At 36.7% G+C, this 27475-nt stretch overlaps 1 protein-coding gene across 7 annotated transcripts in view; it reads right to left on the bottom strand.

Moving 5' to 3' along the window:
* The window catches only part of RAB27B (RAB27B, member RAS oncogene family), a 177660-nt gene that overhangs the window by 67689 nt on the left and 82496 nt on the right, over positions 1 to 27475 (bottom strand). The gene's annotated exons all lie outside the window — the stretch shown is intronic.

Genomic DNA, 27475 nt, shown 5'->3' with positions numbered 1-27475 from the left:
TGCCCATCTTGGGATTCCATTTTAGACACATTCAGACATCCCTAATTTACAGACTGGTAGTAAAGGTAAGAATACAAGGTTAGGTACATTATAATAACAACCGATTTACTCCTCTGTGAACAAAATTTAAAAGTTCCAAACCTGTGTCTTGCATTCATGTTAGTAAACAACGAGATGCCAATGACTGCTTGAATTTTAATTACTTAACTTGTTTCTTATTCGATGCCCTAGAGACAATCTGGGAGGCACTGCTGTTATCAGCTCCCAGAGAATTTCTTGTAGAAGGGAGCAAAGGAATAGCCCAAACCAAAACACAAAACAAACAATAGCAAACTAGTGGAAAAATGGAATATTAGAGAAAACATTTTGGTCTCATAGAAATCTGTCTATTCTATTATGAAACTATTAAAGAAGTTCTATTTTATGTCCTTCAATGTTCTTGAAAGTTGAAAAGAAGAGTAATAATAATGTCTTCATAGTGTTATTGTGAAGAATTGACTTCATATCAGTAATGTGTGTAGAACGTGCCTGGCACAGTAAGTTCTATGAATGTGTTGGCTATACTTATAATTTTGGTAACAATCTATTCCATTCTCCCCAAGTAAGATCCAGTTCCTAAAAATTATTTTGGATCTACTGCATAAAAGTCTTTGAGGCTCAGCCTGTAGATTTTCAAAGTATGTATGCTTGGAATCTATATTTATGATAAATCTACTTTGCATTTAACAGCAATATCTAAGTATATAAGAAGTGTGTGTCCATGGGCCCAGACAGAAATAAAAGAAAGAACATAAGAGCCTTGAATCTTTTCCACTGTTAACACATTGACTTAAAATCACCCTCTGTGCTATACAATGATAACCCATATTCTTTATCTAGTTCATGTGTTCACTACTGACATTAGTCCTAATAGCTATTATTTCCTGTATGCAATAGAGTTTCATCTCATTTGGCTTTCACAACATTACTGTGAAATAGGCAAGGCGTCTATTATATTTATTGTCTCCATTTTCAGAATGAGGTAACTGAGGTTGAGAAAGTCGCAGTAAATCTGTCCAAAGTGATGAAGTTCAAAAGGTGGAAGACAGGTCTATTGATCCTGAATGCCGAGCTCACAGTGGTCACTGTGTTGTACTACCTCACTGCAACTTCTAGAAAAGGTTCCTGCCATAAGAAAATCTGACACACACATTTATTGATGACTCTCCTTGCCACCTTTCCCTAGATAAGTGTGTCACCTGCTTTATAGGGCCAACTCTTGCAGGGATAGCTCTCCTGGAGTGACTTGCCACATATGGTCCTGTCTCCGAGGTTCCAAGGCTCAGATTCAGTAGTGTTACATAGTGACACTACCAGAGAGTGGTGGAACATTTCCTTCCCTGGGAAGAGGGGTTCCAAGGAAGAGAAAGAGTAGGAAGACATAAGAGAAATGTTGCTTGGCCACTCCATGAAGGCCACTTTGACCAGAGGTAGAGCAGAATAAAAAACAGTGGAAAACCAGTGAAAACAAGGTGACAGCATTGTGTGTCATGATAATAATAGTAATAACATCTTCCTGTACCTGGAGTTTATGTAGCATAACTTAAGTAGACATAACATCTGTCTAATTCAATCAATATGGCACTGAGGTAAACATTAATGTACATGGGGTGATGTGTAGTTACAAATGGCAAGATTATCACATGTATTTCATCTCTCCTCAAACTGCTTTATTACAAGAATAAATGAATTTTTTTAAATGTTATTGAATCACAAAGACAAATAAGCAGATAAAATAACACATAAACTTGTAATGAATTTTGGAAGAAGCTAAATCAGATGCAGGCGTGGTAACTGATTTGGAAGAGCAGAGGATTCTATACACTGCATGCCTGCAGGAGAGATTATGGTAAAAAGCAAGCCAATTCTTCCTGCAAAACCTGGGCAGGCTCAGGCCTAGGAGGCAGAAATCTCAGCATAGAAGGAGGCCAGGTGGTGGGGTAAACACAGGGGTTTGGTTATACGTCTGTATATTGGAATGCTTGGACCCAGAGTTCCCTTCCCCACTGTCACACAATCAACCAACCATAAGTTCCTCCATCTGCTCAATCCAGCTTCCAGGAGACTGGAGGTTTATTTTCTGGAGAAAGTAAACTAGAGTAATTTGTGGTTCAACAAGATGAACTGAACACATGCCTTTTTACCCTGCTCCTAGAGATAATGAATAAAAAAGAAATTTATATACAAAACAGGAAAAAAATCTTTTGAAATTGAAAATATACTCAACATTTACAAAAAAACTGACAGATGGGTTAGAAGACTAAGTTGAAAAATCTATTTAGCTGCAGAAAATTTTCAAAAAATGGAAAAAAATTCTGACTAATGGAAATCTCAGAAAGCTCTAGAAAAGACTTCTTTCTATGCAGAAAAGGATAAAAACACTAATTTGAAAACAATGCAAAAACAATACCAGAAATGAAGATGATGAACTTTGGAGATCGAAAGTTTCACTAAACGTCCAGGAAAACAATCCTTTAAATTAATCAAATAATTAAACTCATCGAAATATATCATTCTGAGATAAAATAAATGCAGGAATAAAGAGAAAAACCTAAAACATCTTCCAGAGACATAAAGCAGATCACATACAAGGAAAAAAAATTGCATTGGATTTCTCAAGAGCAATAATGGATCCAGAAGTTTCTTTGAATGCCTTCACATTTTTTAAATGAAATTATTTTGAACTTAGAATTGTATATCAAGACAAACTGTCAGCCAAGCTTGATTTTAAAAAATTTTCAGATATGCAAGGACTTAAAAAATATACATCCTGTGTGCCATTTTAAAGTAACAGTTCCCCAAACAAGCTTATAAATCAAGAAAGAGGAAGAGATGAAACCCCAAAAATGCAGGCCCAACATAAGAGGCAGTAAAATAAATTCTCCAGAGCAATAAGTGTGAAGCAGGCCTAAAGAGAGGTGAACAGATGGCTTGCAGTAGGAATGTCTCCAAGAAAAAAAAAAATGGAAAGAAAATGATAGATTGTTTGATACACATGTGCATTTGAAAATACAGTAGATAGCGGGAAGTGCCCGCCAGATTCCATGTTCTGCTCTTTTTCCTGAGCACCACACTAGATTTCATTTCTTAGCCCCTTGCAGGTGGGGAGGCATGTCACTGAGGTCTGGTTCATGGATTGTGGGCAGAAGTCATGTACATCGCTTCCAGGGTATGCCCATAAAATAACCCCTGAGATCCTCCACACTTCCCCTCTTCCCTTACTAGTGCGCAGATGCGAAGAACCAACGAAGAGCTCTAAGCCCCTAGAAGACATGAAAGCCCCTAGATGAAAAGTCATGAACCTGAATTAGGGTGTGACATGGCTACCTCAGCTGCCACACATTGGACTACCACATGAGCTAGAAGTAAACTTGTATTGTATGATGCCACGAAGATTTTTTAGAGTTGTTACCACAGTTAGATCACTCTGTTACAGTCTTAAAGATCAGTCAGAGGCAATTGTGAATAATATACAATAGGTACGGAGTGTGCTGAACTAATTTTAAAAGGATATTATTAACTCCATGAGAAACAAAAAGTTGCAAGAAAAAAGAAACATTATGATAGAATACCACTTTGTTCAGATCTGGACATAATAAAAATATTGGGAATGCCAACAAGAGAATTAACCCTAACCTACAATAAAACTACATGTGGAGGATGGCAGAGGGAAAGACTATCTGTGTATATGTGCAGAGAAGACAGCTAAACCCTCAATCATCATAACAAAAATCAATAAATAATGTGTAAAGTTGCTAAATAAAGAAATAGCAGGATAGGCAAACCAATTAGACATATAAAAGTACAAAAGCTGCTAAAGAGTCAAATGTTTGCCTGTGGGGATTAAGACCAGGGCTTAGGAGGCGATCTGCACTGTTCCACAAGAACTGTAGATTTTGATTTTGTTTTAAATTATGAGATGTATTACCTTAATAAAAATAAAGTTAATTTTAAATTACCCTTAAAATACACATAAGGAAACAAAAGATATTTGTTCTATAGAGAAAACACTATGCTTTATTAAAGTATTTGCATATACTTTAATATAATGATCTATAAGCAGTGGAGAAAGTGAATTGAAATGCAGAATGAAGATAGATTTGAGAGGTTTGCACAATGATTTATTCATTCAACAAACATTTATTAAGCAACTTGTGCCTGGTACACTGCCAGGTATGGGGGATGCAGTGCAGAACATGAAGGAAAAATAAAGGTGGGTTCTAAGAGAAAACCAGCATTTGTAAGCTTTAAACAACAAATATATTTGGTTTCTTCTCTCTTGTCTTTAGTAGCATGAGTCACTGACCTTCTGGTCATGATAATGCCTTTCATCCTTCACCATCCTCTTAAAAATTTCTCTTGACTTGACCCCCTCACTGATGAGATCCGAGATTTCGTAACCCTTCTCTTGCGATTGCAGGGAAGGCTTCACCAGAAAGTTATGCACGGGTGTGCCCCTACCTCCTGCTGATTTTCTGTTCATGTGAAGAAGTCTGTTTAATCACAAATAAAAATCCACCCTTCTCCAGTTTGAGAAAACCTCACAGTGTGACTAACAAGTCATAAGACTGGACTTCCAGGCCATGCTAGTTTTCTTCACAACGAATATGTAACTTTGAGAAATATATACATGCTTAAGAGACTTTCTACTGGCAAATTACTTTAAATGTGTAGCTCATAAAGACCTATTTTAGATATCTGCTCATTAAACTGGCTATGTTTTCACAATTGTACCTACTGCATCTACTCTGTGGTGAGGTCTTAACCTTCCCAGTTCCAACCTCATGTTGCCTGTTTCTTAGAATGTGTAATGAAGATATACTTGGACCTCATTTGAGATTATTGTAATTTTGTCTAATTTTTTCTTCTTATGTTAGAGGAACATGCTGTGGGAAAGGCCCAAATAATTTCACGAGTGATGTTCACATATAGCCTTGATGAATGTCCTAACTTGCCAAGAAGTCACAGTAGTGTGGGTATGCCATGATCCTGTCTATGAATATTTGACATCTTTATTAAAAAAACCTATAAGCAGAATTTTAGAAATAATTACAACATTGTTTAATCAATTTTAAAAACTAGTTAAAGAGAAGAAAAGTTATAAAAATAAGAACTAAGCAAATAGGAAAGAATAATTCATTTTCTACAAGTCATATGACAATACACATACATAAATATAGTCATTTATTAGCATATATAATTGTATGTGTGGACATAAGTATAGTCATATGCAAATCCATATAAAATGTTTAATTATATTTGCTTTGCTGGTAGCTTTACGGTGAGGTGCAAAATAAAATGTCATATGGGCTTACCATATAAGTACAAATGAATATATGGTGATTTCTCCATTTTCCCAAAAGCTGTTACCTAAAACCAGTGTTTTTGTTAATTTTGCTGCTTTTTAAACTGCAAACACTTCAAGCTGTGATGTCATATATTCAGGAATGATTATTAAATCATCTTAAATTCCTTGCTGGCCTTTTAACCAATTATAAGGTATTTTTTTCAGGCATCTAAACTAACATTGATTAATATAATTTCAAGCAAATATGTCTTTCCTTCTCAAAGTACACTTTTATCAAATTAATTTGATGATTGTTTCCTTATAAGAGAACTATAAGGACTCCAATGTTAAGATAACTATCTCTTTTTTAAGGTATAATTTGGGAAATTATCTTGCCTTATTTTTTGGCCATATATGATGATATAAGTTGTAAAGAATAACAGCTAGTTGACTGGGCATGGTAGCCCACTCTTGTAATCCCAGCACTTTGGGAGGTCTAGGCGGGTGGATCACCTGAGGTCAGGAGTTTCAGACCAGCCTGGCCGACATGGTGAAACCTCATCTCTACTAATAATACAAAAATTAGCCAGGCATGGGGGCCATGCCTGTAATCCCAGCTACTCGGGAGACTGAGGCAGAAGAATTGCTTCAGCCCCGGAGGCAGAGGTTGCAGTGAGCCGAGATCGTGTCATTGCACTCCAGCCTGGGCGACAAGCGTGAAACGCCATCTCAAAAAAATAAAAATAACAGCTAGCTAATTAAGGTTTGATGATAGCAAAGAATCACATGCTATATGATTACTTTTTTAAAACTATACTTTTGGGAAATAATGTCAATAAACCTTATAATTTGAAGTCAGGTGGCGTGATGCCTCCAGCTTTGTTCTTTTGGCTTGGGATTGACTTGGCAATGCGGGCTCTTTTTTGGTTCCATATGAACTTTAAAATAGTTTTTTCCAGTTCTGTGAAGAAAGTCATTGGTAGCTTGATGGGGATGGAAATAAAAGGTATTCAATTAGGAAAAGAGGAAGTCAAATTGTGGGCAGTATGGCCATTTTCACGATATTGATTCTTCCTACCCATGAGCATGGAATGTTCTTCCATTTGTTTGTATCCTCTTTTATTTCACTGAGCAGTGGTTTGCAGTTCTTCTTGAAGAGGTCCTTCAGGTCCCTTGTAAGTTGGATTCCTAGGTATTTTATTCTCTTTGAAGCAATTGTGAATGGGAGTTCACTCATGATTTGGCTCTCTGTTTGTCTGTTATTTGTGTATAAGAATGCTTGTTATTTTTGCACATTGATTTTGTATCCTGAGAATTTGTGGAAGTTGCCTATCAGCTTAAAGAGATTTTGGGCTGAGATGATGGGGTTTTCTAGATATACAATCATGTCGTCTGCAAACAGGGACAATTTGACTTCCTCTTTTCCTAACTGAATACCCTTTATTTCCTTCCCCATCAAGCTACTAATGACTTTCTTCACAGCTACAGTAACCAAAACAGCATGGTACTTGTACCAAAACAGAGATATAGACCAATGGAACAGAACAGAGCCCTCAGAAATAATGCCGCATATCTACAACCATCTGATCTTTGACAAACCTGACAAAACCAAGAAATGGGGAAATGATTCCCTATTTAATAAATGGTGCTGGGAAAACTAGCTAGCCATATGTAGAAAGCTGAAACTGGATCCCTTCCTTACACCTTATGCAAAAATTAATTCAAGGTGGATTAAAGAATTAAATGTTAGAATTGAAACCATAAAAACTTTAGAAGAAAACCCAGGCAATACCATTCAGGACATAGGCATGGGCAAGGACTTCATGTCTAAAACACCAAAAGCAATGGCAACAAAAGCCAAAATTGACAAATGGGATCTAATTAAACTAAAGAGCTTCTGCACAGCAAAAGAAACTACCATCAGAGTGAACAGGCAACCTACAAAATGGGAGAAAATTTTTGCAATCTACTCATCTGACAAAGGGCTAATATCCAGAATCTACGATGAACTCAAACAAATTTACAAGAAAAAAACAATCCCATCAAAAAGTGGGCAAACGATATGAACAAACACTTCTCAAAAGAAGACATTTATGCAGCCAAAAGGCACATGAAAAAATGCTCATCATCACTGGCCATCAGAGAAATGCAAATCAAAACCACAATGAGATACCATCTCACACCAGTTAGAATGGCAATCATTAAAAACTCAGGAAACAACAGGTGCTGGAGAGGATGTGGAGAAACAGGAACACTTTTACACTGTTGGTGGGACTGTAAACTAGTTCAACCACTGTGGAAGTCAGTGTGGCGATTCCTCAGGGATCTAGAACTAGAAATACCATTTGACCCAGCTATCCCATTACCGGGTATATACCCAAAGGATTATAAATCGTGCTGCTATAAAGACACTTGCACACGTATGTTTATCGCAGCACTATTCACAACAGCAAAGTCTTGGAACCAAGCCATATGTCCAACAATGATAGACTGGCTTAAGAAAATGTGGCACATATACACCGTGGAATACTATGCAGCCAAAAAAATGATGAGTTCATATCCTTTGTAGGGACATGGATGAAGCTGGAAACTATCATTCTCAGTAAACTATTGCAAGGACAAAAAACCAAACACTGCATGTTCTCACTCATAGGTGGGAATTGAACAATTAGAATACATGCACACAGGAAGGGGAACATCACACACGGGAGCCTGTTGTGGGGTGGGGGAGGGGGGAGGGATAGCATTAGGAGATATACCTAATGTTAAATGACGAGTTAATGGGTGCAGCACACCAACATGGCACATGTATACATATGTAACTAACATGCACGTTGTGCACATGTACTCTAAAACTGTAAGTTTTATACTTTAAGTATAATAAAAATAAAAAATAAATAAAAAATAAATAAACCTTATAATTATGTGGAACATGATCTATTCTTTTTTTTTTCTTTTTTTTTTTTTTTTGAGATGGAGTCTTGTTCTGTCGCCCACGCTGGAGTGCAGTGCTGTGATGTTGGCTTACTGCAACCTCCGTCTCTCAGGCTCAAGTGATCCTCCCACCTCAGCCTCCTGAGTAGCTAGGATTACAGCTGCATGCCACTATGCTTAGCTAATTTTTTGTATGATCTAGTCAATTTTTATTATCAATCTGGTAACAGCTTATATGACTATAAGGAATTATTTTTTATTTTTTATTATATTTCTAATAGTATACTAAAATAAGTAATGTAATAAGTATGTTTATATTTATGTATTATATTTTATAATTCTATTATATTTAGAATTATAATTATATAATATTTATAGTATATAATATTCATTAATAATTATGTTAATATATAATTATTTATAATAAGTACATTTCTATTTTTAAAGTAATGTGAAAATTCTAAATACTACGGCCATACAATTCCTTCTGAAATATGTATTGCTGCCATAAACAATAAGTAGGTTTCTGTTCTATGGATTTTTTTAGCTACAGATTTCATTGCTACTGAAGGTTGAGTGGCTGGAAGAAAATCCCTACATACTTCATATAAAATATGAATATGCTAGAACCATTCAATTTATTTTAAATCAATTATAAACAATATATTTTTATAGTCATATTTTTGGTGTGAGTCTTAACAGAAGAGATGAGTTTTATGAGAATTTATTTTAAAAAACACGATTAGGATAAAGATACAATTAATAAGAACTTCTCATTTTCTTGCATTTCTCTACCTGTAAAATGTGGTGAACACTAGTCACGTTGTTATAGAGCATTCAAACCTCTCTCCTGATTGTGGGGCTTTCTCAGATGCATGTCTTAGTGGGATCCCACTGTAAAAGTGGGAGGTCAGGCTCTCACGGCAGGAATGGTGGTGTGTAGGACCTGAATGCAATAGCACTGAGTACTTCCAGTGGAGGCATACTAACCACATGGTTGAATGCCTTTGCTTATGGCTCTAGTCCCATGCCAATATGCCCTGGAGTAGGGACAACAAAATGCCAAATGAGGGAGAAGCAGTCTTACACCAAAAAAAAAATATGGAACTTCATCATTTGTATAAGCAAAGTGATAAACATGTATGGGAATGAATTCTGAGGGTGCTTGTACCAAGGAGAAAGGAACACAATTTTAGAAAAGGATGAATTGATTAATATAGATGCACAGGATATAATATACTAGTTTGATTAGCTGGGAGGGCTTGTAATTGTTTTCTCAGTTTGATGAAACTCAAACCCAGATTAAGCCCTGTCTTAATTCAAAGACCCACCCTAACTCTTTAGGAAGGGCATTGCAATACCATTACAAATACATTCAGAATGTCTGCTGCCTAAAATTTCCCAAAGGATTGTACGGCTATTTGCCAAGGTAATTGGCATTGGAGAACAGGAACATTTCCAGAATAATAGAAAATTGACTCTAAGCTATCACTAAGATTTGGATAACAAGAAAGCCACTGAAATTCAAAGATTGAAGTCAGGATTTGTGGCTTAACCAACTTCGACTTCAATGGGGGCTCAATAGGAGTCTCAAATCCACCTCATATCTATTTTGCCGTTTCCTCCCTTCCTACAGATGAAAGGATAATGTGATGGAAGAGTGAATTCAAAGATACTGAAACTATGCAACACAACTCAAGAGAATATATCCAATAGGACAGTCATTTTCTGAAAGAACTGCAGAAATTAGTGTCACCGTTAAGGATTCAAGTCCTTAACGGTGACACTAATTTCTGGTGATTCTTATGAGATCTCCTCTAGGTTCACTACACTGACTGTGTAGAAGGTGGATGGGATGGGTCTTCAAGAATGCCAGTGAATAGCTATAAACTTAATCAGATGATTACTTCAATTGCAACTAATGCAACTAATCAAATAGATACATATTCTAATACTTGGTATACTTGGATAGATGGCTCTAAGAGACTTATTTACTAAATTACTTGCAAGACTCTCCAACTAATCCAGATTTCCGACAAAGCCATTCTGTTTCTTGTATTTTATGCCCAAAAGATTTATGATAAAATATTTATTGGTAGTAGAACAGAGTGATGCATACAGCCTGTGACATTCCCTAGTAGGATAATTATTTTGGAAGCCTATACATTATAAACTTGAGGGTCTTCCCAAGTTCCAGATAGGGTAAGATCAATAAGAACTCTAAATCTAAAGCCTTGGGTTTTACTCCAAGTTCTGCCAAAGATACGTGATAAATTCATCTTTGATCTTATATGTTCAAAATAGAAGGCTTTAAAATAACTCATTCTGCTGATAAAAGTTTCACACACCTGATGCCACAATAGGTGTCCAAAGAATGAATGTTTGTTGAGTAAATAACTGAATGAATCTGCTAATTACCTTCACATCCTTAGCAAGGAAAGTTTCAAGGAAAAGAACACAGAATCTCTTGCTTTAAATTTCAGTAACTTTGATTTTTTTAAAAAATTGAGATGTAAAACGTTAGAAATAAAGATTTGTGAAAATGATTAAAAGTATTGTATATCAGACTCTCGAAATAAATGTGATTTGCAATAAAATAGTCTATAGCAAATACATTTCTTGAGCCATAATGATACAAAACATTTGTATATTTTTCTCTGTGAAAATTAGAAAGGACAACTCCTTCACATTAGTCATTATATTATGACTTTATGTCACAATTAGTGATAAACATATTAGCAACTCTCTGTCTTGCATTTTAATAAATAAATCACAGAAATGCCTTGGCTATTGCTGGTTTGCCCTTAGCCTCACCACAACTCATTAATGGACAAAATGGATTTGTGGCAATCAGAAAACACACAGCCCAAACTTCCACTTAATGATCCTAACTCTAAGATATTTTAACACTTGGAACCACGATTTGGAACCTGTTTTCTCCAACTAACTGGAAGTGTTTTTCACTTTCTTTGAGACTATCACTGTCAAGATAAAAATTATCCTTAAATCTTTTGTTTCAAATTTAAAAAAATAAAATATTTGCTTAAACCATTCATTTTGTTATTAATGTTCAATAAATTAGAAAAATATTTAAACATATAGCTCCAAATATGTCAATCCCTCAGTCGTCTTGGCACGGATATACTTACTGATTTAAAAATACTACAAATACAAGTTTTTGAAAATATTGGAAATTTGCGAAATATCTCGAAATTGAATTCAACCCCTAACCCCATGACTCTATGACCCCATGTTTGATGTAGAAGCAACTATTATCGTATTTCACCTACTCTTGATTTGGCCTTCGCCTTATACCCTCAATTTGGTCAGTGGGGACCAGAAAGCATTCCCAACCTACTAGTGTTTTTGCTGGCACAATTGATATTTTTTGGCCATGACAAGGAACAACCAACTCTACATTTCACAGTAACTCCAGAAAGACTTGCTACTCACACTTAAGCATATTAAAACAGTGAATGTTTGTACTGGTGAATTTGTGCCATCACATACACAAACTATATTAAGCCAGTTGAAAAAGATAGGGGTTTCGATATTTAAACCTGATAAATGTTCACATTGAAACAAAAATATTTTGGTACTTAAAGAAAGATTTATTTAGCTGGTAATTTATTAATAATAATACTGGCCAGGCATGGTGGATCACGCCTGTAATCCCAGCACTTTGGGAGGCCGAGGTGGGTGGATCACTTGAGGTCAGGAGTTCGAGACCAGCCTGACCAACATGGAGAAACCCCGTCTATACTAAAAATACAAAATTAGCTAGGCATGGTGGAACATAATGAGCTATAACTTTAAGAATTTTTGTATAGTAAATACCATGATGAATTGCTTTGGGTGGTTTCTTAAAATGGTCCTCAATGTAGAAGAATGACTTTAATAGCAAATTATTAAAGAATTATCAAGAAAAGTAGTAAGAGTTTCTATAAGGGAGTGAGGGGTTTACAAAATGATGCTCCTTGAAGATTTGGCTAAATCAATAAATTGATTTTAGAGTAAGGAATTGATAGACTATTCTCAGGTACACAGATTTTGATAAGTCCAGAGGCAGAGGGATTTGAGACTGTATCTCCCAGGAGTATTTGGAAAATAGCCATTACGTGTTGGTGGTTAAATGAGAATCATTGTCCTTTAGCCAATGAGGTAAGATGATGTCTTGTCATGAAAGCTGAAAGCTGAGAAGTCTGACATGGCTATGTCTGCACAAAGGGGTCCCTGTTTCTGCTCAAGTTTAAAACAGGGGAGGATCCTCTGCAAGTTGTTCTAAGCCTTCTCTAGTACATAGTTACCATACTCCTGCAATAATACTTCATGGAAGATTAGTCTGACCCTTGGAAAACAATCGAAGTAGTTATAATCCATGCATTTTCAATGAGAAAAATATTGCCCCAGGGAGGCAAAATTTGTTGTTGGGAGGTGACATGATCTTACTCTTTTTATGTATGAAGCACAGATATATCTATGGCACATAAACAGATACACAGTATATCTGTGTTATTAAATTCTCATTTGGGTGGCAATTAGGGAAAAAAATGCCTGTAAAGACTTCTTAGGGTGGGGTTGGGGGTTGAGATGGTGGTTGTGAAATAAAGGATGAGAAAAACTGATAAATACCAAACACAAAATAATAACAGCACATTCCTTTCAGCCCTGACTCACAAACGTGTTCACAGACACTTAAACGTATAAACTTGATGAACATAGCCTCATTCAGTATTCTACAATAAAAACTATTTGTAGTATATATACTCAAGTAACTGAATGGGTTAACTCAGTTAAATGTTGAAATATATCTATTCAAAAGATTAATGTGGTTTTAGAATATTAATATTTTGGCATGGTTGTTATTCTATTAATCCCATTTTTGTGTTGGGAAGATAAAAATATATGCTTAACAAACCTTGCCTTTTTATCATCTACAGAAGAGGGATTAGATATAACTAATCTAAGAAATATATCCTGCCAATTGTTAAAAATATTTTTAAAATAACCAGGAGGGTAATCTGCTCTGGAGTATTGACTTACTCAGATACAGTGGGATCACTATTTGGGATTTAATTTTTTTAAAATGTTTTCCCATGGCAACTGGAGAAACAACACAACAACACATGAAGAAAAGCCATAGATTTCCCTCCTCCATTCGACCCTATTCCCTTGAGCTAAATCAAAAATATTTCCACATTAATGTTCAAACAAATACTAATTTATGTAGGGTTTTAAAAATAGAATAGTTTTATTCAATAAATCTGGATTGTAAATCTGCATCTTTCACAGCTTTCCCAGTGCAATGGCAAAGATGAATAGTAACTGTGACAAAGTAGTTGTCATAGCCTACAAGTCTGAAATATTTATTATCTGGCCCTTTACAGAGAGAGTTTGCTGTCCCTAACAATAGAGGATTTGGTTAAATAAATTACTGTTCATCCACTCAAAGCAGACTGAATTTATTGAAATGTTATTGTAAGACAGTGCTTAATTAAATGAAAATAGATGCACAATGCATATGAACTAAGCAATTGAAAACAGCATACATAGGGAAAGTCAATTTTTGTTGAAATGTGCACATATACAAAAAGTACTATGTTAGGTGCTTAGAGTTGAAAGAGCTTGGCTATCAGAGTTTCATAGATCCAAGTTCCATTACTGACCTTACCAACTAATTATCCATTGTGTGGAAAAATAAGTTACTTTATCTTCTTTCTCCATTAAAAAAAATGATAACCTGGGGATGTTGAAGTATAGATATCGCTCATCTCCTTCCAAAAATTGATTTGAGGTGAATTGACATATTTATATCTATTCCTGTGTTAGTCTGTTTATGTTGCTGTAAACGAATACCAGAGACTGGGTAATTTATAAACAGGTTTATTTTGGCTCATGGTTCTGCAGACTGTACAAGAAGCATGGCACCAGCATCTACTTGGCTTCTGGCAAGGCCTTGGGAAGCTTACAATCATGGCAGAAGGCAGAGCAGGAGCCAGGGTATCACATGGTGAGAGGGGAAGCAAGACAGAGGGCAGAGGTGCCATGCTCTTTGAAACAATCAGATCTTGAGTGAACTCATTTCCACTCATTACCATGGGGAGGGCACGAAGCCATTCATGATGGATCCAACCCATGACCCAACACCTCCCACTACATCCCACTGTCAACCTGGGGATCACATTTCAACATGAGATTTGGAGGGGACAAATATCCAAACCATATCAAATCCCTTGTGGAGATTTAATTATTAAATGAGGCACGTAAACTTTCTCATAGCATGTCTAGTACATGGCACAGCAGACTACATTTTTAAATGTTCCTCTTACCTCTGCTTCAAGTAGGCAATAGAAGAAGGTAAGAAACTCCTATCTTATTTATTTTTCAATAAGCAGATGGGATACAGAAAAGAGTAAAGAAAACCCCTTCAGCGCTGGGGTATTCTCCAGCCACAGCAGTAGACAAGAACCACAGAACCTCAGAGAAAAGCCACAACCGAAAGCAGCATGAGAACAAGGTGTTAGCATATTTCTATGCCATGACATTTTGTTTCTTCTCTGAATTATGTCAACTAAGGGGTAAAATTGCAGAGGGTGAGAGAGAATCTATGCTTCTTTATTCACTCTATTTCTCAGGCTGAGACAGAATTATCATTTGCATCAAGAAGATGGGGAAAATATTTCTTGAATTATTAGTTTTATTTGCAACTATTTGGTATAGATATTGTGTACAGATGTACATATACATATATATGTGTGCTTGTATATATTTTGTTTTCCTCACACTACGATTTAAATTATTCTAGTATTTCATCTTTAAACCATTAGAAATAAAGTATTAAAAATTAATTCTTAAAATGTCCTTGTTAATTAATGTAGAGTCATAGAATCTCAAAATTTGAAAGCAATTGTCTAGGTTAAAATTTCCCAAACTCTCTTCCATGGAACACTACACCTGAAAGGTATTCATAAGAGTGTGTGTGTGTGTGTGTGTGTGTGTGTGTGTGTGTGTGTGTGTTAAAGGAGTTCCATGGTCAGACTTCTTTGGGAAATTCTGCCTCTGCTACTGTCTCTGCAATGAGTACTAACACATTAAGGTTTCCAAAGTAATGAAACTTCTTTATTTAGCCTATCTCATCCAAAGCAATTTGGCAATAAAATTTCTTTACTCGTAAAACTCCTATTTAACATCTCCTAGGATTATTTCCAGAACATCTGTAAATTTTCTTGTAGTTAAACCCACTCATTCTACAGATGAGGAAATATAATCATGTACAACAAAAAAAGAGAACCCGGAAACTCAAATCCTTCATTCATTTCTGTTTGCCAACTATTGATCTCAATATTACCCAGATTCTAAAATTCTGTTTAATACAACAACATGTTTATCTTTTCTCCATCCCAAAACCCCCCAAAATGTCAATGAAACTAATAGAAAGGTATTCATTCATAAAGACAATAGCAAGAGAAAGGTACAACAGATATTTTGACATTAGCAAGTGTGCTTATTACCTTATCAGAGCAAACTTACACAAAATCCCCTCACTAGGAGTCATGGAGGAGAGTGATGGATTCGCTCAGAACCCATTGAGATGTTCAGCATTTAAAAATACCAGGTACTGTAAAAAAGTATTGGATGGATAGGAAGTTGCAATATGGGCATTGAGTGAATGTCTTATGAAAGAAAAATACATCTCAAGACCCCCAAATCATTAAGCCAAAGGGAAACTGCATCAGGCAAACTTGCTTCCCATTTTATTCCTAAATAAGAAAGCTGCAAAGACAAAAAGCCACAAACCTCCCTCACAATCTGTCCACAAGGAAATTCCTGAAGGCCTCAAGATCTTTACCCTAAAACACAGTTCCATTGAATTTCACCCTGGCAACGTAAATCGATAGCTGATCTTCACAGGTGTAGGACAGAAAGTCATTCCTCTGCTCACCTGAGACAAATGCATATCTGATTGCTTCCTCTGCCCTACTGTTTATGTAAAAATGCAGATTCACCGAGCCAGACTAAAGCGTAAGTGACTATTCCTCCATCCTCCTCTCGTGTAAATTGTGCATTCAGCAAAAGACTGATCGAAGACTCAAAAGTCTCAAAATGCAGTAGTTTGTCTCTTATCTACCTATGACCTGGGAGCTCCTGCCCTCTTGAGTTGTCCCACCGTTCCGGACTGAACCAATTTACTTCTTATACATAATGATTAATATCTCACATCCCCCAAAATGTATAAAAGCAAGCTTTACCCCAGCCATCTTTGGCACATGTCATCAGAACCTCCTGAGGCTATGTCACAGGTATGTCCTTAACCTTAGCAAAATAAACTTTCTAAATTGATTGAGACCTATCTCAGATACTATTGAGTTCACAGTCTCTATGTAGTGTGCCTCTTCCCCCCTCTAAAACTTTAGGAAACTTATTTCTCAAGAGTGACTCAGGTGATAAAGCATGGGGAGACTAACCAAAAAGTAATAAAACAATCCAGATTCTAATATTATAATATTAGGCTATATTTTTTCATAGGAAATGTATTCGTTTCAGGTAACATTTATCGAGAACCAATAATAATGGACTAGATGCTGACGATACAAAGATAATTTAACAACAGAATTCATACAAAAGCCATGATTCCTGGTCTCAAGGAGTCTACAATTGCAGGGGGAGGGTTCACAGAGGTTTTCTTATTTATTTATTTATTTATTTATTTATTTATTTATTTATTTATTTATTTTGAGACAGGGTCTTGCTCTGTTGCCCAGGCTGGAGTGCAGTGGCACAATCTCGGCTCACTGCAACCTCTGCCTCCTCCCCAGTTCAAGTGATTCTCATGCTTCAGCCTCCCAAGCAGCTGAGATTACAGGTGCCCGCCACCACACCCAGCTAATTTTTCTATTTTTAGTAGAGATGGGGTTTCACTATGTTTGTCAGGCTGGTCTTGAACTCCTGATCTCAAGTGATCTGCCCACCTCAGCCTCCCAATGTGCTGGGATTACAGGTGTGAGCCTTGGCACCCAGCCTGATTTTTTTTAATTCATTCATTCAACATTTATTTAGTGAGCACTTACAAACTCTGTGAAGTCCTGAATTTAAATTTCAGAACTATATTAACTCAGACAAGTTCACAATCTCTCTAAACTTTTGTTTACTCTTTTATGTAAATTAGATGATAATAACAATAACTACTTTATAGGGTTGCATACCTGACACATACTTTGGTAGAAATTTCTGATAAATATATATTATTAGGAAAGCAAAATATTTCCTAGAATTAATTTTTATTCGAGCAAATTTATTGGAGGCATACAAATGACAGGCCTCACTGTGAAACCTGAAAATTTAATTTTACCAAGAAAATATACACACAAAAGTAGGCATAAATACCCTTTAAAGGAAAGACACCAGCATCTTTTAATTTAACTCTTTATCCTTCCATCTCTCACTCAGTATGGGTACATTCTAGGCACTTGTTCTTCTTTGTATATGTTGAGGATGTTCACTTGCTCTCATGTGGTATATTTTCAATAATATTTTCAGATCAATTGTTCTCAAAACTTCAATTTATGCAAATGCTGAAAAGCTGAACAGTCAGAATAATAAAATTATGATTATTTAAATTCTTAACAGTAAAACATAACTGTTTACACTTTTAAAAAGTCAGCACAATTCAAAATATCATTAGCTGTACATGAATGCGTATATTGTCTACAAAGCAATTAAGAAAGGATAGCCCAATTTTCCAAGAAATTAATCTTAATGTAGGATCTGTTTAACAACATCCATACTTAATTTTTGAAAAGCATCTTACATAGTCTCTGGCATGTAGGTGGATTCTCAATAAATGTGGAATTGTATTAAATGGGTAATTTATTTATAATCAATTACATTTACTTAACTAAAGCATTTCCTAACAGGTTTGCCTCCAAACACTTGGTTTTGACTTATGCATTAGCTAAAACTTTCCTTCATTAATGAGCTATAATAAGTCTCTTCAAATTTCATTGGCTTGAACCAATGTTTATTCTCTTGCTCACCCATCTGTGGATTGGCTGCAACTTAGGTGACCTAGTCTGTGCTCCAGTTTCCAGGATTCACCTCGCAGGTTGAGTTCAAGTCTGTCCCACATGTCTTTCCTCCTCCTGGGACTAGGTGCTCCCTGAGGCATGTGGTCTGCTCCATAGTTCTCACTCTGGGGCCCAGGTTTATAGGGGTAGCAGCTCTTCAGTGCATACTCTACTGGTGGTAGACTTCAGAAGCAACCAGATCGACAAACTGAACAGACAAAACTCTTAATACCCATGCTTGAAACTGATGCTATTTGTAGTCACGTACCACTGTTCAGAGCAAGTCATGTGTCCTATCTAACAACAATATGTCAAAAAGTATAATTATTCCCTGAGGCAAGGTGGGAGGGTGTCAATGTTTCCTAGATAATCATGTAACCTATTACAACTTTCTACTAGAAACTGGAAAAATGCTCAAGAAAATACAATTCAGTGACACAAATTCAATGGGGGAAAATTTCAACCAAAGAATTGATCATGTACTAATTGCACTGTCAACTGTCTTTCCTAAGGAAAAGTTCTTCTGTGGACACTGGGTTACATCTTTTCACTGTGGCCTCATCTTAGCAGCATGGCTTTCCTTTAGTTTTCCCTTTGCAATTTTTCATAATTTCTGGTATGTTAAAGGTTCTTCTCATTTTTTAGCACAGCTAGATATCTATTATTTTCCATATTTTTCTGTTTTTAATAATTCATATTTATTCTGTTCATTTAGTGATATGGGGAGTCTTTAACTGTATGTATCAATTTGGAAACTGGAAGTCTGTAAGGCATGTGTGTATATGTATGTGTGTGTACACATGATCATTATTTTACATTTTTTACTATAGACTGGAAAACAAATTGATTTAGATTTGTCAATAAAGAACTGAATGATCAATCGTAAACTAACCTTTTTAGCATACTCACATGGATATCGGCTTTGTTTGAACAAGTTGACACATGTCATCTTTATTTGTGGAGGCTGATAATAAGAGATTTCTAATGTTCCTCAACATCTAGTAGTTCTCTACTTCTACATAAATGAGCGTTTACATTTCCTTGCCCTCTGAATTCTGGTTTGGCTATATGATTGGTTTTGGCCAAAGAAATATGTGCATAAGTGATGTGTGTCTCTCTCAGGGGAAGCATTTATGAGTTGGTGCACAGTGGGCCTCAGTGATCACGAGAGTGTGGATTGAATTGGAGATGCCATGAGACCACAGCAGCCTAGAATCCTGGCCCAACCTGTGGGGACTGCTGCCCTGGAGGGTCATCTGTACCAAGCCTGAGTAAGAGGGAAACTGATCAGATACAGGGAATGTGTGTTACCACAGCACCACTGGGCCTATCTAGAGGATTACAAACAATATGTAGAATCTTAAGCAGTAAACAATGAACAAAACTTAATTTTCAAAATTATATAATATGTAACTAGTTTTGTTTATGAAGGACACCTTCCTTCTATTATTATGGAAACTCCTCTGGCTAGTGTGTTATCAATGTTTAGCACCATAATTAGTGCAAAATTAACTCCTGCTTCAAAAGATACAAACAGACTGGAGACAACAAGATCTAAAAGACCAAGTAATATGGATTCCTACGTTCAGAGATAGATGATATCCCCTGAAGTGATGAAGTAATAAGGCAAATTTTAATGTCTCATGCTGTTTATGGAACTGCTTTTTTCTTCTAGCTCAGACACAGTGGTGTTCACAGTTTGTCCCCTGCCAGCACAGAAGTATCCCATTTTCAGAATTTACCTACACATGTCAAGTGTAGATCAAGGGCATAGTAAACTTGATCAGTTCCCCAGTGAATGTTCAACAGGAAAACTACCAAAACATCACTAACAAGAAATTACAGATGGTACTTAAATACCACAAAGGTGTCATTCCTTATAAATATTCACTATTAATGAGTTGGGCTTGTTTCCATAGCTGGCAACCAGATGATACGCATATTGATAGAGCTAAGAAATGAGCTGGTTGTGTCAAAGGCTGGAGACTTAGTGATGAGTCAAGTTATCATGTTCAATCCTGTAAAGCTCCAAGTTCCCGAGGAGATTATGTCCTTAAAACAAGAAGGTAAGGACTTGTTTAAAGCTTGTCCAACACTTCTGCCCACTGCTAAAAGCTGAACCCTCAAGGAAAGGTTTATGCTCAAAGTCAGTGCCCATAAAGACATGCAAAGACTTTTTCCCAAAATACTGATGCAGCATGTGATGGTGATACCTCAGAGCAGGAAAAAATACTGAAATTAAAACTAAAGGCTAGTTAATTTTACTAAACCACAAAAAGCGGTTCTGCATTTCAAAATTAGCTTAGGCCGGGCGCGGTGGCTCATGCCTGTAATCCCAGCACTTTGGGAGGCCAACGCCGGCAGATCACAAGGTCAAGAGATTGAGACCATCCTAGCCAACATGGTGAAACCCCATCTGTACTAGAAATACAAAAATTAGCTGAGTGTGGTGGCGTGCACCTGTAGTCCCAGCTACTCAGGAGACTGAGGCAAGAGAACCTCTTGAGTTCTCCTGGTTGCAGTGAGCCAAGATTGTGCCACTGGACTCCAGCCTGGACACACAGTGAGACTCCATCTCAAAAAATAAAAAAATAAAGAAAATAAAATTAGTTTAATATGTGGTCAACTGTATTTACTCAAACCTACTCATTTTTGCTTTAAGTGACTTAGAATGTTTATGTATGATATTGAGCAAGTTGGTATTGATATAATTCTTCAATTTTTTTTGAATGTTTTTCTTGCTAGTTGTTAACATTTTAAATATGGTGTTAATGACTCATGTTTTCCATCCACTTAACCATCTCAGCTTGATAGTAACTAACATAACATCCTGAAAGCCAATCTAACCATCCTGTTTTACACTTGAAAGATGTTATGATACAATATCAAACATAAACATTCTAAGTCACTTATATTTATGTGATTATATATATAAATAATATATAATTGTGGCTTATATATATAATTACATATATAATCATTACTAACATTCTTGGACCCATTTCTTTATCCATTTATTTATTTATATATATCATTATATATAAATATATAACATATATTATATATATGTATTCATTTGGCTACATATACTTGAAATCAAAGTGAAAAGATATAAAAAGAGAGACTGCTCCTCGAACCAGTCTCCTATGCTTCCCATACAGTAACACACCATAGAGCTCCATGTCATACCACACACCAGGCTGCATCTCCCTAAGAGGAGGGCAGTTCTGCATTAAGCAGATGATTCAGATACTAGCCAGTTTCCAGTCCTTGACCAAAGGCTAAGTACACTGCTTATCTGTGCTGGCTGTCAACATATTTCAAAAACTGTGACTCTCCACAGAGCACAGGATGTGGGTATCAGAACAAAAAAGGAAGCACTAGCACAATGTTTTATATCTTTAAAGGAAATCCCATGGGTTGCAAGCAGATCAAATGGACTAAGTATATCATTCATATTTTCACAATGGGTCATGATGAAACAGCTAAATTAGAAGCTATACAATTGAGTGACCTGGTACAAAAATGAGCACATGGTTTCACATGAATTGGGTTTGTCTCAACTTACGAGTAATCAATGTATGATTTTGATGGAGTGGTACTTGCATTTGAGGACTTAAATTATAATTTCCAGTGGAATAAAAATTAAATGCTTCTCTGAGGCATTTTTATTACTCTATATAAGATCCAATCTTCTGAAACCTGATCTTCAAAGTAGGAACTTAAGTTTCGTACAATAACTAAAACAAATGCTTGGTGAATGATGCATTAACCTCAAGAAGACATTCAACTCTATTAGTGATTCTTAAGAACCTGTACTGTACTTTCAAGACATAAATAACACATGATTCCTGAACTCACAAATTACCTATGCTAGAATTTTCACATCAACACTACTGGATCGTAGTCTTTTCAAAGAGGGAAGTCTTCAATCACAAAGGACAAAGTTGCTCATGAATTCTCTAAGTATATAGAGAAAATTACCACCATTTATTGTTGTGAACATTGTTTTTGTGCTTTGTATATGTACCTAGAAAGTACCCTGACATTTTAAATAGGAAGACATAAATTTCTACAAGCACAGAAAAAGGAAAGTATGAAGTTTTAACATTATACAGTCTTTGAAGGAATAAATAAACCAGAAGGAAAAGAGATCCAGACCCAGAGTAAATCTTTTTGTAGTGTTTTCTAGCATAGCCTTTCCCACGGATGAATGCCACAGTGACCCCTTAGTCTACGAGAGTTGTCTTCCAGCTACATCCCTGGCACTTGATAAGATTCCCACTTGCTGTCTGTGATGCCAACCAGAGCTGAGTGTAAGGGAAGTGTGCAGAGTGCCTCATGTCCCTGGAAAGGCTTTGCTGAGGCTCTTAACTCGCTGAGGCTCTAGGGAGGATGCTCAGAGTGCCCTTGGATTAAGGAGACCTCCAGAAACCTCCCTGTCAGCTTGGGCACATCATGCAATGGTGGAGAGCAGTCAAAAATTAAAAAAAGAGGAACAGAAAACTAAAAAAAAAAAGGAAGGAAGGCAGGAAGGCAGAAAGAAAGAGAAAGAAAGAAAGAAAGAAAGAAAGAAAGAAAGAAAGAAAGAAAGAAAGAGAGAGAGAAAGAGAAAGAAAGAAAGAAAAAAGAAAAAAAGAAAGGAAGGAAGGAAGGAAAGAAAAGAAACCTTTTCAAAGATATATAAAAAGAGTGACCACAGCAGAAAGAAACTCTCATATACCTCACCCAGAGATCCCATTTCCCATTCAAGTTTGGCCAGTTGTCTGAAAAATATCTTCCAGAGCAAAAGGATTCAACTCCAGTTCTGGATCATGTATTACACTTAGTTTTCATGGCTCTTAATTTTTGTTTAGTATAGAACCACTCTAAAGTCCTCCTTTGACCCTCATGATCTTGACACCGTTGGAGATTACAGGCCAATTGAATTAGTCTGTTTTCACACTGCTGATAAAGATACACCCGAGCATGGCAAGAAAAAGAGGTTTAATTGGACTTACAGTTCCATGTGGCTGGGGAGGCCTCCAAATCATGGCAGGAGGCAAAAGGCACTTCTAACTTGGTGGCAGCAAGAGAAAATGAAGAAGAAGCAAAAGCAGAAACTCCTCATAAACCCATCAGATCTCACAAAACTTATCACAAGAATAGCATGGGAAAGATTGGTCCCCATGATTCAATTACCTGCCCCTGACCAACATGTGGGAATTCTGGGGTATACAATTCAAGTTGAGATTTGGTGAGGACACAGTCAAACCATACCACCAGTTATTTGGTTGAATGTCCTTCAGTTTGGATGTTTCCTTATCATTAGATTAGCTGCTCTTTCCTAGAAGTCAAACTTTAATGTGCATAGGCATCTCATGGAGAATTTAAATTGTAGATTCTGATACAATAAGACAATAGTTCTGCATTTCTAACAAACTCCAAGGCCATCAATGGGACTGACCACATAATTAATAGGAAGAGCCCCATAAGACACCAATCAAGAAGAGGGAGAAATAATCAGGACTGATTATCCACCTTCCCCCTCATCAGGACTAATCCCACGATCCTTTGTGACAATTTAATAAAGTCACTTCCAAAACTCCAAACTTTCCTAATCATTGATTTCACCACTAGAAATTCCAAACTTCCAGAACTATTGATTCTCCTATTCCTAAATGAACCCCCAAACCTGTCCTAACCAAATTATCATCAACCCAGTGAGTGGTTCCATCATCCCCCCAGTTGCTTAAGTCCAAAGCCAAGAAATCACCTCTGATTCTTCTCTTTTGCTCAACTCATACTGCCAGTCCAGCAGAACCACCTAACTCCAAGACATATCCCAAGTCTGTTCACTTCTATTTGTCTCTACTGTTCACAATGTATTGCATATCATCATCCATCATCTCTTGCTTGCACTACGCTGTAATTTCCTGATTGGTCTAACTGCTTCCATTCTTGACCCCCTCCACCCAGAAGCCAGGGAGAGCTTTGAAAAATAAGGTAAGTCAGGTTCCACTGCCTGAAACCTCTACTGTCTACTGATCATGTTTAGGGGAAAACACAAATGCAAACTGCTCATTTTGTTCTCAAGGATCTTTGGGATTGTTCTCATGCCCTCTTGCTTGCTGCACTCTGGCCACACTGGCCTTCTTGTGTTTTCTCTGATCTGTCAAGCCTCATGCCCCTTCTGCCTGGCATACACTTCATCCTGAACATCACATAGCTTGCTACTTCCAACTCCCAATTCTGCTCAAAGTCATCTCTTAGGAGGACTTCCTACTGCCTTATCTGAAAGAGCTTGTTTTCCCAGTTTCTGTACTTCTCTATCTGCTATCTTTATTTATTTCATCATAAACATCATCACTATGTGAAACTATGCTATTTATTTTTTTCCTTGCTTAATTAGCATTCCTTTCCTCTTCTAGATATACATTCATAAGGAAAGAAATATTGTATTTCTTTTTTCACTCATGTATTTCAGCTTCAGTGCCAGTTATAACAAACTCAATAAATATTAACTGAATAAATGAATGAATAAATAAATACTACTTTAAATCAAAATGCTTATGTAAGCAAAGGACTGAATGGGGAGTTGGTAAAACTGCCACTCCTCACATGATTACTCACCATCGACAAAACCTTTCCAAAGCAGCACATGTCCCATTGACAAAGACTTGACATAGCCCATTCTCTTGCTACGTTGAAGAGCTTACCTAAAGTTTCACAGAATGACCCTGGTCCAGTTAGACTTTATAATGTCAATGTCCCCCATTCTAGCCAGGAAATTTTTCCTGACTTCTCCTAGTTTCAAGACAGCAAATTGAGCTTACATGTTTAAACTCTCTTTTGCCTTATATTCCATTGAAATAACTAAGGAATTTAGAAATAAGAAAATATCTCTAGCAGTTTAGGAAAATAGGGAAGTGTAAAATCACACATCAAGAAACCTTGAAAGATTTCAGGAGGGAATAGAGATGATTTGGCCTGAGAGAAAATCTCCCAGTTGCTGACCGTTCAGTCAAAACAGAAAGGAGCAATCTTGGACATAAATTAAGAGATTACTGCAACAAGTCCTAGAAAAACGTTGACTCTTAAATCACCACATACCAGATACAAGAGCAGGCACTGAACCAGTGGGCAAAGTCCAGTGGAAAAGCTATGGCAACAGTGACAGTACCCCAAGCACTGGCTAACTTCAATTGTCCAAAGCAAAGGAACAAAGGAAGAAACTCAGCTCATCTCAGGAGTACAACCTCTGTGTCCTCCTTCTCCAAGGATTTCTACTACTAACAGTATCACAGGGGTGTGTGTTTTCTGTTCTAGCAAATATTGCAAAGATTGTATTTGCAAACAATGTAAAGATTATTTGAACTTGATTTCATTGTACCATGAATAACTTTGATCCCTCACTTTACTCCTTCACCTCTAACAAAAATGAAGGTTTTGTAGCTTAGATAATCCCATAGTCAAGTATCTTACTCAACAAGATGGACCAAGGTGCCTGATGGTTGATTGCTTCTGGCCTATGTATTCTGCAAGTCCATCAGCTGTTCCATCTCCTTCTCACAGGACCCAAATTAGAGCTTGTCCTCAATTCTCTGTAGCCCTCCTACACACTAAAAAAAATAGGACTGACAATTTTAATAGCGGATAGCAAAAAGTGACCTCCATAGTTGCTGACAGAGCCCATATCATCCACAGGTTTAACAAATCTAGATCAAAGGTCCCAAATCTTAAGGCAGTGGTTCTCACAGTGAGGCCACTGTCCTCCTCCTGTGGCAATGGCTGGTTATATTTTTGGTTGTCACAACTGGGTGGTAGAGTGTGTGTTACTAGTATCTAGTGGGTAAAAGCCAGAGATGTGCTAATCATCCTGAAATGTACTGGACAACTTCCCAAGCCCCAACAAAGAATCGTCTGGCTCAAAATGTCAACATGCCTGAACCTGATGAACCCTGCTCAATGGTCAACAGGCCTAGATGGGCAATAGTAAGTGTGAACCTGGCCATGAAGCAATAGGGCATCATGGGGAAGCTGGTGACCTGGGATACAGTGATGACAGATTTTCCAGTTTTTTAAGAGAGAGAAAGAGTCTAGGTTTTTAATAGTCATATACATTGTTGTAAATCAGTTTTATAGTTTTTTTTATAAATGTTGAAGATGAATTTTAGAATGTTGAAAAACTAAATTAAAACACAGGAATAGGCCAGGTGCAGTGGCTCACACCTGCAATCCCAACACTTTGGGAGGCCAAGATGGGTGGATTACTTGAGGTCAGGAGTTTGCAACTAGCCTGGCCAACATGGTAAAAAACCCCATCTCTACTAAAAGTACAAAAATTAGCCAGGTGTGGTGGCGTGCACCTGTAATCCCAGCTACTAGGGAATCTGAGGCAGGAGAATTGCTTGAAGCCAGGAGACGGGGGTTGCAGTGAGCCTAGATCATGCCACTGCACTCCAGCCTGGGCAACAGAGCAAGACTCTGTTAAAAAAAAAAAAAAAAAAAAAAAACACAGGAACAAAACAAATTTAAAAATTCAACAACTCCAAAAAATAAAATAAAATAAAATTTAGTGGTCTGGATCTGGCCCATGGATTGATGGTTTGCCATTGCAGATTTAGTACTTTACTTATTATATATGAGCTGATAATAACAGCATAATAAAGTCTGAGCACCCATGAGAGCAGACAGCAGTTAAAATGTGGGCATTATAATAACAGTAATAACCAGAGAAAATGACTACAATGGAAAAAAGTTAGTATAAACAAGAGGCTAATTTACAGCATCATATTCTTGGTGAGATTAGAGTTGGGGCTGGGAAGGTAAGCAGGAACAAAGTCTTAATATCTGTAATCTATAGCAGTATTTCAAATAGGTACTGCAAGGAATACTCCAATTAAAGTGTAGACAAAAATTACAAAAGGTACCTCTCAAAAGAAGAATGGCAAACAGTTGCAAGAGATGAATAGTTGTAATGACAATGAAGTCAATGCAAATTAAAATGAAATGGTCTTCATCAATTATACTAAAAAGGAATTAATGCCCAGTGCTGTGGAGCATTGGTGGGGAGGAGGAAGAGCACCACTAATGCAATCCTGGCAAATGTAAATGTTCTTTGCAATCTAGGCTTTGAATCACATTAAAAATGTATGCGTTCTTTCATGAA

Source organism: Homo sapiens, chromosome 18 (assembly GCF_000001405.40).
Source record: "Homo sapiens chromosome 18, GRCh38.p14 Primary Assembly".
In the NCBI taxonomy this organism is placed as follows: Eukaryota; Metazoa; Chordata; class Mammalia; order Primates; family Hominidae; genus Homo; species Homo sapiens.
This window is presented reverse-complemented; position numbering and strand designations above follow the sequence as displayed.